Source organism: Homo sapiens, chromosome 5, assembly GCF_000001405.40.
Source record: "Homo sapiens chromosome 5, GRCh38.p14 Primary Assembly".
Taxonomy (NCBI): domain Eukaryota; kingdom Metazoa; phylum Chordata; class Mammalia; order Primates; family Hominidae; genus Homo; species Homo sapiens.
The window spans coordinates 87553911-87577107 of NC_000005.10; the positions used below are offsets into that span (position 1 = coordinate 87553911).

The 23197-nt window shown below is 38.2% G+C and overlaps 1 annotated feature.

The window, feature by feature from the left end:
• Positions 22430 to 22977: an enhancer, noted in NCBI's record as "OCT4-NANOG hESC enhancer chr5:86872157-86872704 (GRCh37/hg19 assembly coordinates)". NCBI's record gives its function as "activates a minimal SCP1, AML or CMV promoter by ChIP-STARR-seq in primed H9 embryonic stem cells {active_cell/tissue: H9 hESC(primed)}" and the evidence as "EXISTENCE:reporter gene assay evidence [ECO:0000049][PMID:30033119]".

Genomic DNA, 23197 nt, shown 5'->3' on the forward strand with positions numbered 1-23197 from the left:
TGCCCCTATGATTCAATTATCTTCTTCTAGGTCCCTCCCACCACATGTGGGGATTATGGGAACTACAATCAAGGTAAGATTTGGGTGGGGACACAGCCAAACCATATCATTCCACCCTGGCCCCTCTCAAGTCTCATGTTCTCACAATTCAAAACCCAATCATGCCCTTCCAACAGTCTCCCAACGTCTTAACTCATTCCAACATTAACTCAAAAGTCCAAGTCCAAAGTCTCATCGGAGACAAGGCAAGTCCCTTCTGCCTAGGAGCACATAAAATTGAAAGCATGTTAGTTACTTCCTAGATACAATGGAGGTACAGGTATTGGGTAAATATATCTTTTCCAAATGGGAGAAATTGACCAAAATGATGGGGCTACTGGCCTCACGGAAGTTGAAAATCCAATGAGGCAGTAATTAAATGTTAAAGCTCCAAAATAATGTCCTTTGACTCCATGTCTCACATCCAGCTCATGCTGATGCAAGAGGTGAGCTCCCATAACCTTGAGTAGCTCTGCCTCTGTGGCTTTGCAGGGTGCAGCCACCCTACCAGTTGCTTTCATGGGCTGGTATTGAGTGTCTTCAGTTTTTCCAGCTGCACAGTGCAAGCTGTCAGTGGATCTACCATTCTGGGGTCTGGAGGATGGTGGCCTCTTCTCACAGCTCCACTAGGCAGTGCTCCATTGGGGACTCTGTATGGGGGCTCCAACCCCACATTTCCTTTCTGCACTGCCCTAGCAGAGGTTCTCCATGAGGGCCTTCCCCATTCCTTCAGCAAAATTCTGCCTGGACATCCAGGTGTTTCCATACATCCTCTGAAATTTAGGCAGAGGTTCCCAAATCTCAATTCTTGACTTTTATGCACCCACAGGCTTAACACCACATGAATGCTACCAAGGCCGGGGGCCTGTGCCATCTGAAGCAACAGCCCAAGCTGTGCCTTGGCCCCTTTTAGCCATGGCTGTAGAGAGGCTGAGATGCAGTCCTGAGGCTGCACACAGACCAGGAAACCATTTTTCCCTATTAGACCTTCAAACGTGTGATGGGGGGAACTACTGTGAAGGTCTCTAACATACTTTGGAGACATTTTCCCCGTTGTCTTGGTAATTAACATTTGGCTCCTCGTTATTTATGCAAATTTCTTCAGCAAGCTTGAATTTCTCCCCAGAAAATGGGTTTTTCTTTTCTATCGCATTGTCAGGCTGAAAATTTTCCAAACTTTTATGCTCTGCTTCCTTTTGAACACTTTTCCACTTAGAAAATTTCTTCCACCTTATTCCCCAAATCATCTATCTCTCTCAAGTTCAAAATTCCACAGATCTCTAGGACAGGGCAAAAAGTCACCAGTCTCTGTGCTAAAGCACAGTAATAGTCACCTTTGCTCCAGTTCCTAACAAGTTCCTCATTTCCATCTGAGACCACCTCAGCCTGGACTTCATTGTCCCTATCACTATTAGCATTTTGATCAATCATTCAACAAGTCTCTAGGAAGTTCCAAATTTTCCCACATTTTTCTTCTTCTGAGTCCTCTAAACTGTTGCAACCTCTGCCTGTTATCCAGCTCCAAAGTCACTTTCACATTTTCAGGTATCCTTATAGCAGCATCCCACTCTACTGGTAACAATTTACTGTATTAGTGTATTCTTATGCTGCTGTGAAGAAATACCCAAGACTGAGTAATTTATAAAGGAAAGAGGTTTAATTGACTCACTGTTCCATAGGGCTGGGGAGGTCTCAGAAAATTTACAATCATGGTGGAAGTGGAAGCAAACACATCTTTCTTCACATGGTGGCAGGAAGGAGAAGAATGAGAGCCAAGTGCAGGGGGAAGCCCCTTATAAAATCATCAGATCTTGTAAGAACTTACTATCATGAAAACAGCATAGGGGAAACCACCCCCATGATTTGATTACGTCCCACTGGGTCCCTCCCATGGCATGTGGAGATTATGGGAACTATAATTCAAGATGAGATTTGTGTGGGGACACAGCCAAAGCATATCACAATCCAATTTAATCAGTCTGCTACCAAGTAGCTAGCTGATTCTTTGGCAGATGGGTTTTAGTGAGTGAAAGTCCATGCTGCTTAGTGCATAACCTCCCTATCTGCTGCTATGGTCACTTTATTCATGCTTTCATTGGACAATGACTTAGGTGGCTAGAGAAGGATGTTGACTGATGTCCTCAGATTAGATAATCCTCCACCTGTGTATTAAAATCTTTCTTTGCTGAAGTCATCATTTGATGAGAACTCACATGGGATACAACTCCTACATTAGTGTAAATCCATATATCTGACCACCCTTTTTTCCAGGCAAATCGAACATTGCTTACAGTTGGCCTCCTGGAAGGATTTCCCTTCTTCAGTGCCTTTCAAACCAACCCTGGGTGGGGTTGAAGTGATGCAGCTATCCACTTCTGGATGATGCCTGCATGTAATACAGTACTATCTGTAAACAGAGATTGAGATTTTTTCTTTCTCAGTTTGAAAATTGTTTACTTCTTTAATGCAATTCAGGTTTTCTTAACTGACTGTTCATATCCTTTGTCCATTTTTCCACTGGTGATCTCTGAATAGTGGTTGTCCTACATATTCATCTTGATTTTTCTTGCTAATAGTTTATCTAAAAATGTTTGATACTGTGGTTTTCAGAGTGTCTATGAATGAAATAATAATTTAAGTTTTTTTTATACTTACGTATGTTTTGTCTTCAGTAGTCATTACATTTTAGGAGTGGGTGAGAGGAAGGCAGGTCAACTCCTAGTTCTAGGTTACATGCAGTGTTTCCTGTGAATATGTGGGACAGGCAGTCTAGTGGTCTTCCTAACTGCTGAAGTAAATAGTACTTTATTCTGGGTGTGGGTAGCTTTAGAACATTTGAATTCTGAGTAGAACTGACTTTCGTTTTTGCTTTTTTAGTATGTTATTGATGGTCAAATTTTTTTATTGTTTGTATCCCAATACTCATTGTGAATCTCTTTCCAGAAAGATTGTCCACTGTCTTGAGAGAACAGCTTTTAGGTCTTGTCTAATGCCTAAGCTCTACCATGGCCGCCAATTGTGATCATATTCTACACACATGAAAAATAGAAAGGGGGAAAGGTGGTTTTACTGACTCAGCAGTGCTGAAACCAGTTCTCTAATTAATTATTTTGTGATTTCTCCTGTTGTTTGCACTTGTTTGCTTTGAGCAGGGAGCTTTTCTGTGGCTCCTTTTGGAAGGACCCATCTTAACCCTGGACAAATTCCTGTATCTGAAGCTTGATGTAATAGTTTAAAAGGATTAAGAGGCTTTTATTTGAATAAAGGTAGTATTAAAGAAAATCTCAGAGAAAAATTACTCTGGGCCAGTTACATTTCTATATGATTAGAGAGGCTATAAACATTTTATATAAATATAATGTCAACGTTGACACTTACTTTTGGTCTAACTTTGGACAAGTTGTGTAACCATTATATACCGCAGATTTGCTTTTTATGACCCTCAATAGTTTTGTTGTGAAATGAAATTAGTTGACATTTACAAAAAAATGATTGGAATCATGCCTAGCATAGATATGCTCTAAATTATCTTCTATTATTTTTTATATTACACAATTTTAGGTTATACAAATATTTTTGGATTTGTCACTGTCTATGCTGATGTGTCATTAACATTTTTAACAATGTCTTTTTTTAAAAGTTGGAATAACTATGAACTTAGAGATACATTGTAAATAACAATAAAAATAGCTTTTCACTTGAACCATTTGAAAATTATTTACCATCCTGGTTCCCTGTAATCCAAAATATTCTATTGTGGACTTCCCACAATTAAGCAAATTTTTCAATACAACCACAATATCAACATGAAAATTAAGTAACCAACACTGATACTTTATATACAATCCTCAAACCTCAGACTCCAGTCAAGTTTAACCAATCATTGTCCAAATAATTTTCGTTACCAAAAGAGTACAATTCAGAATTATGTGTTGCATTTAGCTGTCATGCCTCTTCTAGCTTGGACCATTTTCTCAGTCTTTTCTTAAAAAGGCTTTCATGGCCTTAACTTTTCAACATGATAGGAGTGTTATTTTGCAGAATGTCACTCAGTTTGGTTTTGTCTGATGTTTCCTCATGATTAGATTCAATTTATACATCTTTGACAGAAGTACCACAAAACTGATGGTACAGTCTTTCTTATCATTCCATTCTATAAAATGATGTAGAAGTTTTGATTTGTCTCATTACTGCTGATATTCCCTTTGATCTTTTGATTAAGGTAATGTTTGTCAGGATATCCTTTGTCAAATTACTCTTTTTACTTCATAATTAATAAGTATTTTGGTGGTTGACTTGCGAAGCTAGATAAATATTCTTTTTCTCAGAAGCTTTCAATTATTCATTCATCAGAATGGACTATTTTATTCAATGGGGTATAATCCGTTTGAGTAATTTTTTATTGGTATTTTTGCCCAAGATTTGACCACTGGGAGCTTCTTGAAGCTGACTCCTGTGTCCCTTTTTGACATGGCACCCTCCCTCTTGGAGGACTTCCTTGCTTTCCAGCACAGCAAAATCTTTCAAGCATATCTTAACTTTTCCTTCCCCATCCCTGGAATCAGATATTTCTCTTAGGAACCCTTATTCCTTTAAGTGGAAAATGGTATCCAAAACCAAATCTAATCTAATCTAATGCTTTGGAGGATTTTCACTGGTACTGATAGAGACAGGAAGCAGCCAAATGCCTAGGCAAATAGAAGCAGGTCCCCAGTGAAACCCCACCTCCACGCTGAAGACAGTTTAAAGCCTGAAAGCCAAGCAAAGGGTTAAATCACTAGACTGGAATGAGAATGTATCTTCCTCTTTGGCGTGCTTTCCTCAGGTTTGTCTCCACCCTTGACCTATTTTACATATACCTACCCCTTTCTAATTGGTTTTCTACACTGTCGTGCCTGTCTTCAAATGGTATCTTTACTTTAATCTTTTTTGTATATTCATAAACCAATCAGAATGCACTCCCTATTCTGAGTCCATAAAAGGCCCCAGACCCAGCTATACAAGGAAACTTTCCCACTTTCAGTTAGGGGGACCAAACCCATGTCTGCTCTCAGCTGAAATCCATTTTCATTGCTCAATAAAATTCTTCTCCACCCTCATCACCCTTCAATGTCCAGCATAACCTCATTCTTCTTGGGCAGGGTACAAGAGCTTGGGAACTGCCAAACATGGGTACAATTTATAACACCTGTGAGGTGGGGCATGCCAGCATGGCCGAGTGAACCCTGGGGCATTGCTGGCCAGGGTTCCCTGGCTTGCAATGTGACCAAGAAGAAAAAATCCTACATCAGTACCATGTCTTCTAAGTGGAGAGAACTAAGGAATATGTGTACATATGCACACATATATGCATGTATACCTATATTTCATTCTATTTCTATTTTTATATATTGAAAAACCAGTAGTGCACTGATACCTTTGATTCTAGACCAACATCACAGGGTTAAATATAATTTTATCCCTTTTTATATCTGTGATTTTGTTTTCTGACAGTGAGGAATTTGTGTGTTTATATGTATTTATTTCATCTTTCTGCCTGTATATAACCTGTCTCCCATGCACATGTCCACCTCATTCTACTTGGCTCTGACATCCTTCTGTTTGGGGATGCCCTCTTTCCCCTACTCATGGTTAACCCTCTGTACTTCTCTGTGTCACTGAGCCTGTCAACCTCACCTGGGCCCTGAAACTTTCCAGGACAATTTTCCACTCCGTATAGATTCCTTCCTCATTCCATCTGGGTTTTGATTCTCTACATTTGGCCTCTGCCTTCCACTCCCATCATGGGTACATCCACCTTGCTCTAAGCTACCTAAGTGCTTTAGTGCTGAATTTTTCTTGAAGGGAAAGGGATAAGTGTAGAGGAAGCTCCAGAGAGGGCTTTTGCTAGAAGAAATAGATGTGAGTGTTGTTAGTATATAGAATGTTTACGGTTGAAATCATTCACTTCTTATAGCTTGTGATCACATCTCCTCCCCCATATGGTCATTAACACCCTGGTCCTCACAACCTCAGGGCCTGTAGCTGGTTAGAAACACCCATGAACGTGCAAAGTCTCAGCTGTAGTTTTATTTCTTTCTTCTCTCTAACACCTGGGGATATCCCTTTTTTCATTTTGTATTTGGACGTGTATTTACAATTTTTGGTTATATTGTATCCAGCCTGTCTATGTGTTTATAATGAGAAAAATGATGATTTGTACCAGTTTATTCCACCATGTTGCCCAGACATCCCTTTGACACAGTTTTTAAACATTTTTCTGTCAGATTTATGTGATCACTTTCTGAACTAAATCAAAGGAAAGTAGCAGATGATGACAGATGTTTCTATTTAGTATTTATTTATCAAAAATATTTCCAGCAGGTACTATATTTAGTTCAGTTGTCAGAAAAGTAATTTAGCTTGAAGCATTTCCTCTTAAAATGTAACAACACAGTGTATTATATTAATGGCATGTCTCTCATTATAGTTTATGAATCAGATGAGATAAAATGAAGTATTGAAATAACAGGAGGGCCTCACCTCCATGTTCAGGCTTTTCCCCAGGCAATGTCACCATGGACAAGAAGAACCAGAGAGAAGAGAAACCTGAATTCTTAAGGTTTAAGTTTCAGAATCTGTGGTGTAAATTTGAGGGAGACAGAGAAGCTATTATATTCTATGATGGCTGCAAATTCCTCCTGATAGAAAGGAGTGAAATCTCTCTGTGACTGAATTTTTGAGAGGTGAGAGCCACTAAAGTGGTTGTTGAGTCAGAGTGAGAGTCCATCCTCTTCATGAGCAAGCACCATCCTTCACCAGTGTGAGCAATGTGGTGGCCAATTAGATCTTCCATTCACGTGACTACTGAACTAAATAGACGGCTGATTAAGGAGTCTACTTAGTTCTAAGTAGTAGTTAGGAGTTCTCCACCTGGCCTTCCTGATGCTATGTTGTGAGGAAAACATCAACTCCTCTTTCAGTGATGCAGGACCACTAACAGACTGGCTTTCACTATCCCACCAAAGAAGTGGAGCCATGTCTCCTGCATGCATGTTTCTTTAGTTAATACACTACACAAGGCAGCCACATCTAAGGATGCACAGTGCACCTGGGAGATTCCTTTATTAGTTGGAATATGTTGGCACTTTTGCTATAACTTTGTTGTCTCCACATATAAATTATTTGTATATTTTGTAATGATGATAGCAAAGCAGATACCATAGAGCATGTTATTCCAGCAAACTCAGTGTATTATAATAATTTTCTGACAAATGAAAATAAAGTATCTTTTTCTAACAGTGTTGTTATTTGTTTTCTTCTGAAAGAACACTCAATAAGTGAAAGACCTTTTTGATATAATATCTAAATAATGAGGTTTTCTTGCTTTTCCCACTGATGTTATGATTGATTAGTATCTTAAAATAAAATAAAAAGTAGAAAACCTGTTTCGTATTAATGTCATGGCTAATTTGATATTTTATATTTTAGTTTATATTATTGCCATTTTTTACTAAGTTCCCAATTTAAATTCATAAGTACCTTCATTATGACATGACTCACTTTGTAATAATCTATATAAACTTACCATTAATTATCCACAAAGTAGGTACTAGACAGATAAATACACTAATAATTTAAAGATGATACTTATGTAGCTATACAAATTGCTTTTTAATAAGGCATATTTCATCAGTATAAAAATTAAATGTATTATAATTCAGTGGTTTGACATATGTTTTATTTTTAAAAGCTGCAAGTTCTAAGATAAAATGTTAACTTTTTGAAAAATTATGTTTATAATATTAAAAGAATATTATGGCCTTTCCGTGTGGTCCACAGATCAACAGCATTGGTATCCTGGGAACTTGTTAGAAATGCAGACTCTCAGGCCCTAAAACATAAACTGCATTTTAAAGACATACCATGTGGTTTGCATGCACATTAATATTTGAAGAGCACGGTTCTAGACGACATATGTAATTTGGAGAATTATATGAAAATTATACATACAACTACGTAAAAATTTACATTTGACACTTGACAGTGTAATAACAATAAACATAGCCATGGAGTATGATATTGAATGGACATCAACATATAAGGAATTGTAAAACTTGCAGTTGTTTTCTAAAATGTGGTATGACTTCTGTTGAAATATTGCAGCATATTCACAGTAATAATTTAAGACATATTTCTAAATACTTTTGTAGTTTTTAGTATTTGTTTCTTTTCCGATATTGGTTCTCACTGAAGAATGTTGCATCTTAAAACTTTATTAAAAAATTAATAATTAATTTTTTAATATTTTAAACTATTAAAAATATTTAAACTATTAAAATTTTAATATTAAAATTTTAAACTATTAAAAATATTTAAACTATTAAAAAATTAAAAAATTAAAGTCAATAATATCTAATAAAAGGTTTCTGTCTAGTCATTATTTTTTTAATACTTAAGTTCTGGGATACATGTGCAGAATGTGCAGGTTTGTTACATAGGTATACATGTGCCATGGTGATTTGCTGCACCCATCAACCTGTCATCAACATTAGGTATTTCTCCTAATGCCATCCTCCCCTTGGCCCCCACCCCCAGACAGGACCCAGGGTGTGATGTTCCCCTCCCTGTGCCCATATGTTCTCATTGTTCAACTCCCACTTATAAGTGAGAACATGCGGTGTTTGGTTTTCTGTTCCTGTGTTAATTTGCTGAGAATGATGGTTTCCAGCTTCATCCATGTCTCTGCAAAGGACATGAACTCATCTTTTTTTATGGCTGCATAGTATTCCATGGTATATATGTGCCACATTTTCTTTATCCAGTCTATCATTGATGGGCATTTGGGTTGGCTCCAAGTCTTTGCTATTGTGAATAGTGCTGCAATGAACATATGTGTGCATGTATCTTTATAATAGAATGATTTATAATCCTTTGGGTATATACCCAGTAATGGGATTGCCAAGTCAAATGGGATTTCTAGATCTAGATTCTTGAGAAATCACCACACTGTCTTCCACAATGGTTGAACTAATTTACACTCCCACCAACAGTGTAAAAGCATTCCTATTTCTCCACATCCTTCCCAGCATCTGTTGTTTCCTGATTTTTTAATGATCACCATTTCTAACTGGTGTGACATGGTAGCTCATTGTGGTTTTGATTTGCATGTCTCTAATGACTGGCGATGATGAGCTTATTTTCATGTTTGTTGGCCACATAAATGTCTTCTTTTGAATAATGTCTGACCATATCTTTTGCCTACTTTTTGATGAGGTTGTTTGTATTCTCTTGTAATTTTGTTTAAACTTCTTGTAGATTCTGGATATTAGCCCTTTGTCAGATGGGTAGATTGCAAAAATTTTCTCCCATTCTGTAGGTTGTCTGTTCACTCTGATGACAGTTTCTTTTGCTTTGCAGAAGCCCTTTAGTTTAATTAGATCCCGTTTGTCAATTTTTACTTTTGTTGCCATTGCTTTTGGTGTTTTAGTCATGAAGTCTTTGCCCATGCCTATGTCCTGAATGGTATTGCCTAGATTTTCTCCTAAGGTTTTTATGGTTTTAGGTCTTATGTTTAAACCTTTAATCCATCTTGAGTTTTGTTAAGGTGTAAGGATGGGATCCAGTTTCAGTTTTCTGCATATGGCTAGCCAGTTTTCCCAACACCATTTATTAAATAGGGAATGTTTTCCCCATTGCTTGTTTTAGTCAGGATTTTGTCAAAAATTAGATGGTTGTAGATGTGTGGCATTATTTCTGAGGCCTCTATTCTGAACTTTTGGTCTATATATCTGTTTTTGGTACCAGTACCAAACTGTTGTGGTTACTGTAGGCTTGTAGTATAGTTTGAAGTCAGGTAGCCTGATGACTCCAGCTTTGTTCTTTTGCTTAGGATTGTGTTGGCTATATGGGCTCTTTTCGGTTCCGCATGAAATTTAAAGTAGTTTTCTCTAATTCTGTGAAGAAAGTCAATGGTAGCTTGATGGGGATAGCATTGAATCTATGGATTCCTTTGGGCAGTTTGGCCATTTTCACAATATTGATTCTTCCTATCCATTAGCATGAAATATTTTTCCATTTGTTTGTGTCCGCTCTTATTTCCTTGAGCAGTGGTTTGTAGTTCTCCTTGAAAAGGTCCTTCACGTTCCTTGTAAGTTGTATTCCTAGGTATTTTATTCTCTTTGTAGCAATTGTGAATGGGAGTTCACTCATTATTTGGCTCTCTGTTTGTCTGTTATTGGTGTATAGGTATGCTTGCGATTTTTGCACATCGATTTTGTATGCTGAGACTTTGCTGTTATTGCTTATCAGCTTAAGGAGTTTTTGGACTGAGACGATGGGGTTTTCTAAATATACAATCATGTCATCTGCAAACAGAGATAATTTGACTTCCTCTCTTCCTATTTGAATACGGTTTATTTCTTTCTCTTGCCTGACTGCCTGGTCGGAGCTTCCAACACTATGTTGAATAGGAGTGGTGAGAGAGGGCATCCTTGTCATGTGCTGGTTTTCAAAGGGATTGCTTCCAGCTTTTGCTCATTCAGTATGATATTGGCTGTGCATTTGTCATAAATAGCTCTTATTATTTTGAAATACGTTCCATCAATACCTAGTTTATTGAGTGTGTTTTAGCATGAAGATGTGTTGAATTTTATCCGAGGCCTTTTCTGCATTTATTGAGATAATCAAGTGGTTTTTGTCGTTAGTTCAGTTTATGTGATGGATTACATTTATTGATTTGCATATGTTGAAACAGCCTTGCATTCCAGGGATGAAGCCAACCTGATCGTGGTAGATAAACATTTTAACATGCTGCTGGAGTTGGTTTGCCAGTATTTTATTGAGGATTTTCACATTATTATTTTGAAATACATTCCATCAATACCTAGTTTATTGAGTGTGTTTTAGCATGAAGTTGTGTTGAATTTTATCCAAGGCCTTTTCTGCATTTATTGAGATAATCAAGTGGTTTTTGTCATTAGTTCAGTTTATGTGATGGATTACATTTATTGATTTGCATATGTTGAAACAGCCTTGCATTCCAGGGATGAAGCCAACCTGATCGTGGTGGATAAACATTTTAACATGCTGCTGGATTTGGTTTGCCAGTATTTTATTGAGGATTTTCACATCGATGTTCATCAGGGATATTGACCTGAAATTTTCTTTTTTTGTTGTGGTTGTGTCTCTGCCAGGTTTTGGTATCAGAATGATGCTGGCCTCATAAAACGAGTTAGGGAGGAGTCCCTCTTTTTCTATTGCTTGGAATAGTTTCAGAAGGAATGGTACCAGCCCTCTTTGTACCTCTGGTAGAATTTGGCTGTGAATCTGTCTGGTCCTGGGCTTTTTTTAGTTGGTAGGCTTTTAATTACTGCCTCAATTTCAGAACTAGTTATTGGTCTATTCAGGGATTCAACTTTTTCCTGGTGTAGTCTCTGGAGGGTGTGTGTGTCCAGAAATTTATCCATTTATTTTAGATTTTCTAACTTATTTGAGTAGATGTGTTTATAGTATTATCTGATGGTAGTTTGTCCTTCTGTGGGATCAGTGGTGATACCCCCTTTATCATTTTTTTATTGTGTCTATTTGATTCTTCTCTCTTTTCTCCTTTATTAGTCTAGCTAGCAGTCTATCTATTTTGTTAACCTTTTCAAAAAACCAGCTCCTGGATTCATTGATTTTTTGAAGGGTTTTTCCTTCAGTTCTGCTCTGATCTTAGTTATTTCTTATCTTCTGCTAGCTTTTGAATTTGTTTGCTCTTGCTTCTCTAGTTCTTACAATTGTGATGTTAGGGTTTTCAATTTTAGAACTTTCCTGCTTTCTCCTGTGGGCATTTAGTGCTGTATATTTCCCTGTAAACATTGCTTTAGCTGTGTCCCAGAGACTCTGGTACATTGTGTCTTTGTTCTCATTGGTTTCAAAGAACTTATTTATTTCTCCCTTAATTTCGTTATTTACTCAGTAGTCATTCAGGAGCAGATTGGTCAGTTTCCATGTAGTTGTGCAGTTTTGAGTGAGTTTCTTAATCCTGCTTTGTAATTTGATTACACTATGATCTGAGGACTGTTTTTTATGATTTCTGTTCTTTTGTATTTGCTGAGGAGTGTTTTACTTCCAATTATGTGGTCAATTTTAGAATAAGTGAGATGTGGTGCTGAGAAGAATGTATATTCTGTTGATTTGGGGTGAAGAGTTCTGTAGATGTCTATTAGGTCCACTTGGTCCAGAGCTGAGTTCAAGTCCTGAATATCCTCGTTAATCTTCTGTCTTGTCGATTTGTCTAATATTGACAGTGGGGTGTTAAAGTCTCTCACTATTATTGTGTCAGAGTCTAAGTCTCCTTGTAGGCCTCTAAAAACTTTCTTCTGCTTGATCAATTCAGCAATTGATACTTATGTATGCTTTGCAAAGTTCTCTTGCTGTGTTTTTCAGTTCCATCAGGTCATTTATGTTCTTCTCTAAACTTGTTATTCTAGTTGGCAGTTCCTGTAACCTTTTATCAAGGTACTTAGCTTCCTTGCATTGGGTTAGAACATGCTCCTTTAGCTCAGAGGAGTTTGTTATTATCCACCTTCAGAAGCCTACTTCTGTCATTTCATCAAACTTATTCTCTGTCCAGTCTTGTTCCCTTGTTGGTGAGAAGTTGTGGTCCTTTGCAGAAGAAGCATTCTGGTTTTTGGAATTTTCGCCTTTTTGTGCTAGTTTTTCCTGAGCTTTGTTGATTTGTCTACCTTTGGTCTTTGATGTTGGTGACCTTCGGATGGGGTTTTTGATTGGTCATTTTTTTTGTTGATGTTGATGCTGTTGCTTCCTGCTTGTTAGTTTTCCTTCTAACAGTCAGGCTCCTCTTCCGCAGGTCAGCTGGAGTTTGCTGGGGGTCTACTCCAGACCCTGTTTTCCTGGGTCCTGTTTTCCTGCAGCTGAGGCTGCAGAACAGCAAAGATTGCTGACTGCTTCTCCCTCTGGAAGCCTCGTTCCAGAGGCTCACCTGTCAGATGCCAGCTGGAGCTCTCCTTTATGAGATGTTTGTCGACCCCTGTTGGGAGATGTCTCCCTGTCAGGAGGCTTGGGGGTCAGGGACCCACTTAGTGGGGCAGTCTGTCCTTTAGCAGAGCTTGAGCACTGTGCTGGGAGGTTCGCTGTTCTCTTCAGAGCCAGCAGACAGGAACGTTTAAGTCCGCTGAAGTTGTGTCCACAACCGCCCCTTCCCCCAGGTGCTGTGTCCCAGGGAGATGGGAGTTTGATGTATAAGCCCCTGACTGGGTCAGCTGCCTTTCTTTCAGAGATGCCCTGCCCACAGAGGAGGAATCTAGAGAGGCAGTCTGGCTACAGAGGCTTTGTGGCCCTGAGGTGGGCTCTGCCTACTTTGAACTTCCCAGTGGCCTTTTTTTACACTGTGAGGGGAAAACTGTCTACTCAAGCCTCAGTAATGGTGGACGCCCCTCCCCCGACCAAGTTTGAGTGTCCCAGGTCAACTTCAGACTGCTGTGCTGGCCCCGAGAATTTCAAGCCAGTGGATCATAGCTTGTTGGGCTCCATGGGGGTGGGATCCGCTGAGCAAGACCACTCGACACCCTGGCTTCAGCCCCCTTTCCAGGGGAGCGAATGATTCTGGCGTTCAAGGCACCACTGGGGTATGAAAAAAAAAAACTCCTGCAACTAGCTCAGTGTCTGCCCAAATGGCCGTCCAGTTTTGTGCTTGAAACCCAGGGCCCTGGTGGTGTAGGCACCTGAGGGAATCTCCTGGTCTGCAGGTTGCAAAGACAGTGGGAAAAGCATAGTATCTGGGCTGGATAGCTTTGTCCCTCATGGCACATTCCCTCATGGCTTCCCTTGGCTAGGGGAGGGAATTCCCTGACACTTTGTGCTTCTCGGGTGAGGCAATGCCCCCCCTTGCTTCTGCTTGCCCTCATGGGCTGCACCCACTGTCTAACCAACTCCAAATGAGATGAGCCAGGTACCTCAGTTGGAAATGCAGAAACCACCCACTTTCTGCGTTGGTCTTGCTGCGAGCTACAGACTAGAGCTCTTCTTATTTGGCCATCTTGCCCAGGAATCTCTAGTCATCTTTTCTATAAAAAGGGAGATACTGGAAGAAGCAAACATCAAAACAACCACAGAGAATTTTGTTTCCATGAAAACAAAAGAAATAAGTGTTTTATAACAAACTATTATATCCTAATGACTTGGTTCTTAATTCTCAATTTTCTTTTACCTTAAGTTCATTATCTGATTTGTGTAATTTATATAAAATAAATTTGTTCTTTTTATTAATGTGAAAACAATAGTACACTCTTCTAAGAATCTCTACCTGAGGAAGGAATACTTTATTTTATATTTACCTGCAGATGCCATAAGCATTAACAATGGCCCTAGAAAACCAGTTAGTCATAGTTATGAAAAAAAAAAATCCCTGACATGGCTATGGCCAGATTAGACTCAGCTTGCAATCTCCTATTGGTCTTACATGTCATTTAATAACATTAATTTCATTCACTGGTTAACATGATGATGATGATGTTTTAGTGCTTTGGGACTGTTAATACAATTATTTCTAAGACAATTACTCTGCCTTTTTGTGATGTCTTGCCTTTCTGTGATTCACACTTACAAAAATAATTTTTTCTGAAATCAATTACATAAAACAAGATTCTAATTAATTTCTGCCATGACTTAGGTCTTTTTAATGTGGTATTTGTGTATGTGTTTTTGCTTTGTTTTTTGGTTTTATTTCAGAAACTTCGCTTCTGAGGTATTGGGTCATTTTTTTCTCCAAGTGCGTTTGAAAATCATGCTGCGTATTTTAATGTCAAGCTACACATTTTATAAAGGAGTGTGCATACAGCCTTTCTTACGCTAAGAAATATGAATAAAATGAGAAAAGGCTTTTTAAAAACCTTAATAAGTGGAGTGCAGATTTATCACAGGGGGAACCTGCTTCACTGGAATACAGCGATATATGTCCATTGGTCAGTTTCATTCACATGAGGCACACTCCATTACTTGCTGTGAGCAAGAAAAAGGTTACCTGACCCAACTGAAGAGTATTAGCTTTTTTTTTCAGCTATGAAAAAATTGCTTTGCCACTTAGGTCAGCATCATGATATAAATCTTAATGAAAGTTTCTGAGATGTGAGAGTAAATCAAGCTGTTTGGCCACCTTGATGCTCTCCTAATCTGCCTCTTTCTTGCTTTATTTCCTTCAGTCAGGTTTAGAGACCACAGAACTCAAGGCAGACCCATTTACAGAGCAATCACCACTCCAGCCAGCCATTCTGGCCCTTCCAGCACCCAAGGCTGAAGATAACTGAGATCCATGGATTAGTACTGTCTTTTATGGAGTAAAATGAAAGAAATCCAAATTGTCCTTTCATTTCATTTGAGGAATTAAAAAACCCTGTCATTTATTTGGGAGCCTATGTCTCTATTGCACAATGAATAATTGAGTGAGATTGTTATTATAAGACAACAGTTATCTGAATTATTTTAATGGATTAGTATGGAACACAAAGCTACTAAACAAACTAATTTGATTATTTTCCCAATTTCTGTGATCTATATGGGCATAGTTATTGAATTAGACTGTGCTTTCTATTATAAAAATGAATTATTTTAAAATGCAATAAAGCACTCAAATAATCTAAGTGAAATTCAAATAACTTTAGAAAGAATACACTGTGATTGTTTGAAGTCATGTGTTCATTCACTCAATAATATATTTGACAACTACTTACTAAATGCCCATTCAATTGGTATAAATGTGTCAAGTCTTTATTTTGGTCCCAGGGACATTGTGATGAACAAGACATACGAGATTCTTACTCTCACAAATAGTATGTGACAATGGGAGGGGAGAAATAAGAAATAAACAAGACAATTTTACATAGTGGTAAATGCCATGAAAAAAATAAAACCAGATTATATGAAGGAATGACTTGTTGGGGGAACATTTAAAAATTTAATTGGATGGTCAGAGAAAGCCTCATTGGTTAAGGCATTCTTTCCAAAAAGCATCAACTTTAGGACTATATAGGGTAAAGAATTCTGGGCAGAGGACTTATCAAGTGCAAAGCCTTTAAGATAAGAATTAACTTCAAGGAAGAATAATGGGATTGGTGTTCAGAAGAGAAGAGAGAAAGTTCTAGGAGATGAAGTTGGAGAGTATATTATGTAGAAGCTTTAGAAATGGCCTGGCTCCATACTATGAAATCAGTGCCAATTACTCCTAAGGCTGCTCTAGATAAAAAGCACAAGTGGTCAAAGTGAGGTGGAGAATGCTGCATAGACTAAAGTAAAGTACAGATGGTATTTGCTATGGACTGAATTGTATCACTCTCAAATTCATCTGTAAAAGCTCTAACATCCCATGTGACTGTATTGGAGACAGGACCTTTAGGGAGGTGACTATGGTTAAATGGAATCACAACAGTGGAGCTCTGATTCAACAGAACTGGTGCCCTTATAGGAACAAGAAGAGATATCAAATATCTTCACCCTCCCACCCCTGAGGGAGGACACAGCAAGAAGGTGGTCATCTCTAAGCCAGAAAGAGAGCCCTCACTAGAACATAACCACGTAGATTTCAAACTCTAGTCTGAAGAACTGTGAAAAGGTAAACTTCTGTTGTGACTCAGTCTGTGGTATTTTGTTATAGCAGCCTAAGCTGACTAATACTAATATTGAAAGCAGTGGACTAGGTAAAAGGGCTTGTGTAAATAGAGATGCATTTGTATAAATAGAGAAAATAAAAAGGCTGAATCCCAGAGTAATCAATATTTAGAGGTATGGAGAGAATTTGGGGCCAGAAAAAAAATTGTAGAAGATTTAAAAATCTAGAGAGTGTGATGTTGTAAAACTCAAGAAAGTTACAAGTAAGAGGGAGTAGTTGATTATGTGTAAGGCAGCTGAAGGATGACCTGAGGTAAGAACTTGGAGACTATTTATAATGTGGCAATAGTAGAATCAATGGAACACTGGCAACATCCCCAAATGGGGCATGTTAAAGAAAGAACAATATGTTAGGAAGAACAGCAATGACCACTGATAAATCTTTTCAGAATTGTTATGAAGGGAAGTAGAGAATAAGAAGACATCAGGAGAGGAGTAGGAGGGCAAACAAATTTTTTTTCAAAGATGAAGAAAAATTAAAAAAATATTTGTATGCTGATGGTAGAAGCTGACGATTAGAAGAAGGATGAGATAATTGCTAAGTGACTTCCTCTAGAAGATGAAAGGAGATGGAGTCCACAACACAAGGGAAAGCCCAAACCTTGGGTAAAAGATAGGCCATAATTCCATCTATTTCATGAGGAGGGACAGCAGACAATATTAAACAGATGCAGAAAGCCTAGTAGATTTGGTGGTGAGAAGATAAGACAGTTCCAATGTGAGCCTATTCTTAATGAAATATGAGGAAAGATAATATGTTGCAAGTCAAGAGGCAGAGTAGTTGGGGGAAAGTTGAATATTTAAGGAGAGAGGAAAAGTATGAAAGTCATTTTAGGAAGGGAGGGAGTACATTTACAAGGGAAGTTTGATGTTTAAGCATACTTGATGTCTTTTTGTAGGGTGTGGTTACACATTTATAGTAAGGGAAGTCACTATTGTTGTGTATTTTTCTCTAACTCTAATTAATTGCATGGGTACTTGTAAGCAGTGGACAGATAATTGAGTTAATATACAGTTCCATTTTACATTGAAAACACAACAGGGATAGTGCATCAAGGGAGTTGAGGGTGTTCTAAGGGAGTGTTGGATTATGGACCACAAAACAGATAAGGAAGGAAATCCAGGCATCAGGAAGATGTAAGGTAAATGACTTGGGGGTCTCAAGTATAGTTCAAGAAAGCCTTTCTGACATATAAATGTCTTAGTATTTGGCTAGAAAAATAATCATATATACAGGTATTTTACATAGCATTTTAAAAATAGAAAACTTCATCTTCGATCTTAATACTACACACAAAGAGTTAAGAAGAGGAATGGCAATATAAAACGAGTGGGTCTAAATTAATTTATATTTAATTTTGAAATATCATCAGATAAGTGCAATCTTTTACAAGTATAGAGATATGTTTGGACATCAGATAAATCGTCATTATAAAGATGAAGAAACTGAAATACACAGAAATCATATGCTGTTCTTAAGTTCATGCAGCAGATTTAAGACATCAGAACTATGATGAATTTTGTGCATCCTAACATATTATAAGACTATTTTTATATCTATTTCTCTAATAGAAGTTTACTTTCTGCCCTAGGTGGGTGTTCTGATCAGCAGAGCAGCTCTTCCTCATACAGTAATTCAGGTCCTCAGGCTCCTTCCATCTGTGCCTTCGCCATAGCCTATGACCTCATTGTCATCTCCATTTAGCATGCAGGGGAACCACTGGAGGTTTTTATCTGACAGGCCTGCAAAATAGCACGTATCACTTCTGCTCACATTCACTGAATAGAACTTGGTTACATGAATCCACTTACCTACAGGATAGGCTAGAAAATATAACCTTGCTATGTGCACAAAAGAGCAGAAGAAAGTTTTATATACAGTACAGCTAGCTGTCTCTCTGATAGCCCCTGGCTACCAAATACTTGTGCAGTCTTTCTCCTCACACAGTGAACACACGATAAACTCTCCAAAGGGAAAGAACACAAGGTTTGTCCAGTTACATCATTATGCCAAAAGTTACGATCTCTGGGTATTTGTTCTCCATAAGATCCAGATATACTTCTTCATGGTACAGCAACCAGTGAACTAAAAAATAGGTTTGTTACCTTTCCCAAACATACCCCCAATGCACAATGGTGGAACAGGGATAATCTAACTGCAATGAGGACTCAGACACAGGAGGACTAGGAAACAATGTCGGTGACTGGCACATACCTAGGATGGAATCCTGCTCACCAGGCATGATGACTATTTCACCTGGTAGTGGAGACACTTTCTTATTTATTTATTTATTTATTTATTTATTTATTTATTTATTTGAGATGGAGTCTCGCTCTGTCGCCCAGGTTGGAGTGGAGAGGCGTGATCTCGGCTCACTGCAACCTTCGCACCCAACACCCCCCAGCCGAGTTCACGCCATTCTCCTGCCTCAGCCTCCCGAGTAGCTGGGACTACAGGCGCCGGCCACCACGCTTGGCTAATTTTTTGTATTTTTAGTAGAGACAGGGTTTCACCGTGTTAGCCGGGATGGTTTCAATCTCCTGACCTCGTGATCCGCCCTCCTGGGCCTCCCAAAGTGCTGGGATTACAGGCATGAGCCACCGCACCCAGCCCAAGACTTTCTTAAGTAGACACTGACTCTGCTTTCTGAAAGGGACTCTTCTGTCTCGTGTTCTCCTTGCCCCCTGGCTCTACATCTGAAAGACACTATTTTGATCATTGTTTTCCACGGCCATAATGGAGGTGGGTTTTGGAGAGTCTGACTCCAGTATAGGCTTGGAGGCTATTCAGCTTTCACAGCCTCCTTCCTGCCCATGAAATGTTGAGAACATAAGGGTTGTTTTAAGACTTAGGCATTCAAAGCCTTCCCATCTGCTTTTTTAGGTTCACAATATAATTCTGTCAAGAACTCACTAGACTTATGATCTATTTTCTTTCTTTGCTTATAACTATAACCTACTTATATTCTCAAATCCACTTACTTATTTGCTTTCTTGCTACTAGCTCTCTCTCTTAACCAGTGGAGGCTATCTTGAGGTCATATGAAATAATACATGATAATAATACTTAACAAAGAACTGAATCTTTTTGTATAACCAAGAAGAGTTAACAAGCTTCTAGTAGCCTAAAACGAAATCATTTCCCCAAATTTATCAATTATACTTGGGCTCTGGAAGCTGAATTATTCAACCCTATAATTTTAATCTCTGCTCTGTCTCTATCCACTTTAATTTCTGCTTGAAACCATCCAATTTTGGCCTAATCTCATCTCTTTCTGGTAATCTTGCTAAATATGATCATTACTAACACACACTAAATAGTCTAATTTTTTCCAGTCTTTTCTGGGTTTTATTACAAACTCCATGGACGTTTGTTCTGCTGTCCGACTTTTTGTAGGCAATGGTTTTACCAAATGTGTTGGCATGGCATGATCTCTAGTCTTCTAGTTTGCTGTATCTATTTTCTTGCTGCTTGGCCCCTGCTGTAATTTTTGTCGCATTTCAAAGCTCTTAGCTGTGGCAGTACTTAATGTGGTGCCAATTTTTATATTAGCCAGAATAGGTTAGGCCATGATAAAAACAGTTTAGTAAATTAGCTACTAGCAATAAGTTTATTTCTTGTGAGTATTCCAAGCAGATAGTTGTTGGGGTGGCTCTCCCACATGAGGTCATTCAGGGACACAGGCTACTTTCATCACATGGCTCTCCCACCTCCTGTCACTTCCATCTACCTGGCCAAGAGAAGAGAACCTAAGGGAGTGCATCTGGTAGGTTTTTATGAGCCAGGCCTGGAAATAACACGCATCATGCCTGCTTATATTCTATTGGAAAAAGATAATCATTTTGCTACACCTAACTACAAGAAGGCTGGAAAGTACAATCTTGGATTTTTTTTTTTTTTTAAAGAAAAAGAAGAGTAGATTTTGGTGGGCAGCTAAGAATTACTGCTACTTTACATACTTACTGAATCCAAATTATGATATTGAAGTTTAGGATTCAGGTTTTTGACAATGTTTTCAAGTGATAAAATTTTCAAGTTAAAAATTAGGGTTGAAGATGAATATATATTTAGAATTAGGAACAAATTATCAATTATAAAATGGTGACAACTACCAAAAAAAGTCACAAAACATAGCTAACATATATATCTTCTGTTTATGTATTACATATAAAATCTTCTGTTTATGATTTTACATCTCTGATTATATATGCATAATTAATTGCCTAATACAGCTATGGTAGGCTGCAATATGGTCCCCCCAAAATGTCCACATTCTAATCTTGGAACCTTCCTCCTATAAAAGTGTAATTACAAGGTTTTTATAGGAGGAAGGCATGAGGGTTAGAGATAAAAAGGAGAGATGTGAGGGTGGAAGCAGGGTCGAAGAGGAGACGGGCTGCTACTGCTGGTTTTGAAGATGGAGGAAGGGGACACAAACCAAGGAATAACTGCCTCTAGTAGCTGAAAAGGTCAAGAAAACACATTCTTCTCTAGCTTTTCCAGAGGAAGGCAGCCCTGAAGACCTATTTTAAACTTTTGACGTTCAGAACTCTAAGATAATAAATTTGTGTTGTTGTAAGCCACTCAATTTTTAGTAATTTGGTAACAGCAGGAACAGGAAACTAATATGACACTTCTATAAAGATTTTTCGTATATTTTTTGACTACATACACTTTGGTAACATCTTGTAACAATGTTTTAACAATATTTAAAAATATTTCATGTTTAAAAATATATTTATAAATATTTCATGTTTTAAAAATATTTATAAATATTTCATATTTTAATACAAAAATTACTCAGTTTTTCTTTTAGCCAAAAACATTAAAATTTGTTTTTTGTTGGTAGTTGAGGTGCATACAATATGTGACTTCTCATAGATGTGCTATTTTTAATACTGCTATAATTTTGAGCTCTACAAAGAGAAAGTTTCTGATAAATTTTGCTTTGCATAAGTCCCACATTAAAAAGAGCTGCATGTATAATTAAATATTCTGTCTAATCGAGTATAGTTCTAACAATACATAAATTCCATTTTGGCAAGGCATCAGTGAGACTCAGGTATTTTGCTTATAATTTTATATCTCTGATCCTATGAATTTTACCAGAATAATATGTGACTCTCTACATTTTAAATCTTGTTTTCTTTCCATTACCCACACTTTTGGTGATGAGTGCTGTAGGACTTGCTTATTTGCTGCATGGCCTCTTGTCCTGAACCTCTGTGCCATAATATTGGGTGCATTAGGGTAAGCGACAGTGGTACTATTCCAGGGATTACTTCTCTAATGGAAAAAATTAGGATATCCAACCATATGCAAACTAAAGGTGCTCCAACTCAACTTCTGTTTTGGGAAGTCAGGGATCCCGAACGGAGGGACCTGCTGAAGCCATGACAGAAGAACATAAATTGTGGAGATTTCATGGACATTTATCACTTCCCCAATCAATACTCTTATAATTTCCTATGCCTGTCTTTACTTTAATCTCTTAATCCCATCATCTTTGTAAGCTGAGGATGTATGTCGCCTCAGGATCCTGTGATGATTGCGTTAACTGCACAGATTTTTTGTAAAGCATGTGTGTTTGAACAATATGAAATCTGGGCACCTTAAGAACAAGATAACAGTGATTGTCAGGGAACAGGGGAGATAACCTTAAAGTCTGGCTGCCTGTGGGCCAGGCGGAACAGAGCCATATTTCTCTTATTATTGAAAATGGGTAAGAGAAATATCGCTGAATTTTTTCCCCAGTAAGGAATATTAATAATTAACAGCCCTGGGAAAAGAATGCATTCCCGGGGGGGCCTCTAAAATGGCCTCTCTGGGTGTGTCTGCCTTATGCACTTGCAGATAAGAGATGAAACATGCCCTGGCCTCCTGCAGCGCCCCCAGGCTTGCTAGGATTAGGAAATTCCAGCCTGGCGAATTCTAGTCAGACTGGTTCTATGCTCTTGAACCCTGTTAAGATGTCTATCAATGACAATGCATGCAGAGTGGGACATGGAAGTTCATTAGTGATTCTAGTTTCACCCTGACCTTGTGATCTCACCCTGACCTTCTGCCTTGTGATCTTTTGTTGCCCTTGAAGCAAGTGATCTCTGTGACCCACACCCTATTCATACGCTCCCTTCCCTCTGAAAATTGCTAATAAAAAATTGCTGGTTTTGCAGCTCAGGGGGCATCACGGAACCTGCCGACATGTGATGTCTCCCCCGGACACCCAGCTTTAAAATTTCTCTTTTTTGTACTCCTTTCCCTTTATTTCTCAGACCAGTCGACACTTAGGGAAAACAGAAGAGAACCTACATTGAAATATCGGGGGCGGGTTCACCTGATAAACTTCTCTGTAACTAGATCCTACAATCACCCATAGTTAGTAAATCTAATGTTATCTGACACTGGATAATATGAGAGAAGGTGACTTGGAGAGACAATAGTCAGTAGAAGGATTATGATTAAAATAGCTTATTTAGCAATTTTTATAAATATTAATACTAATGACTATGT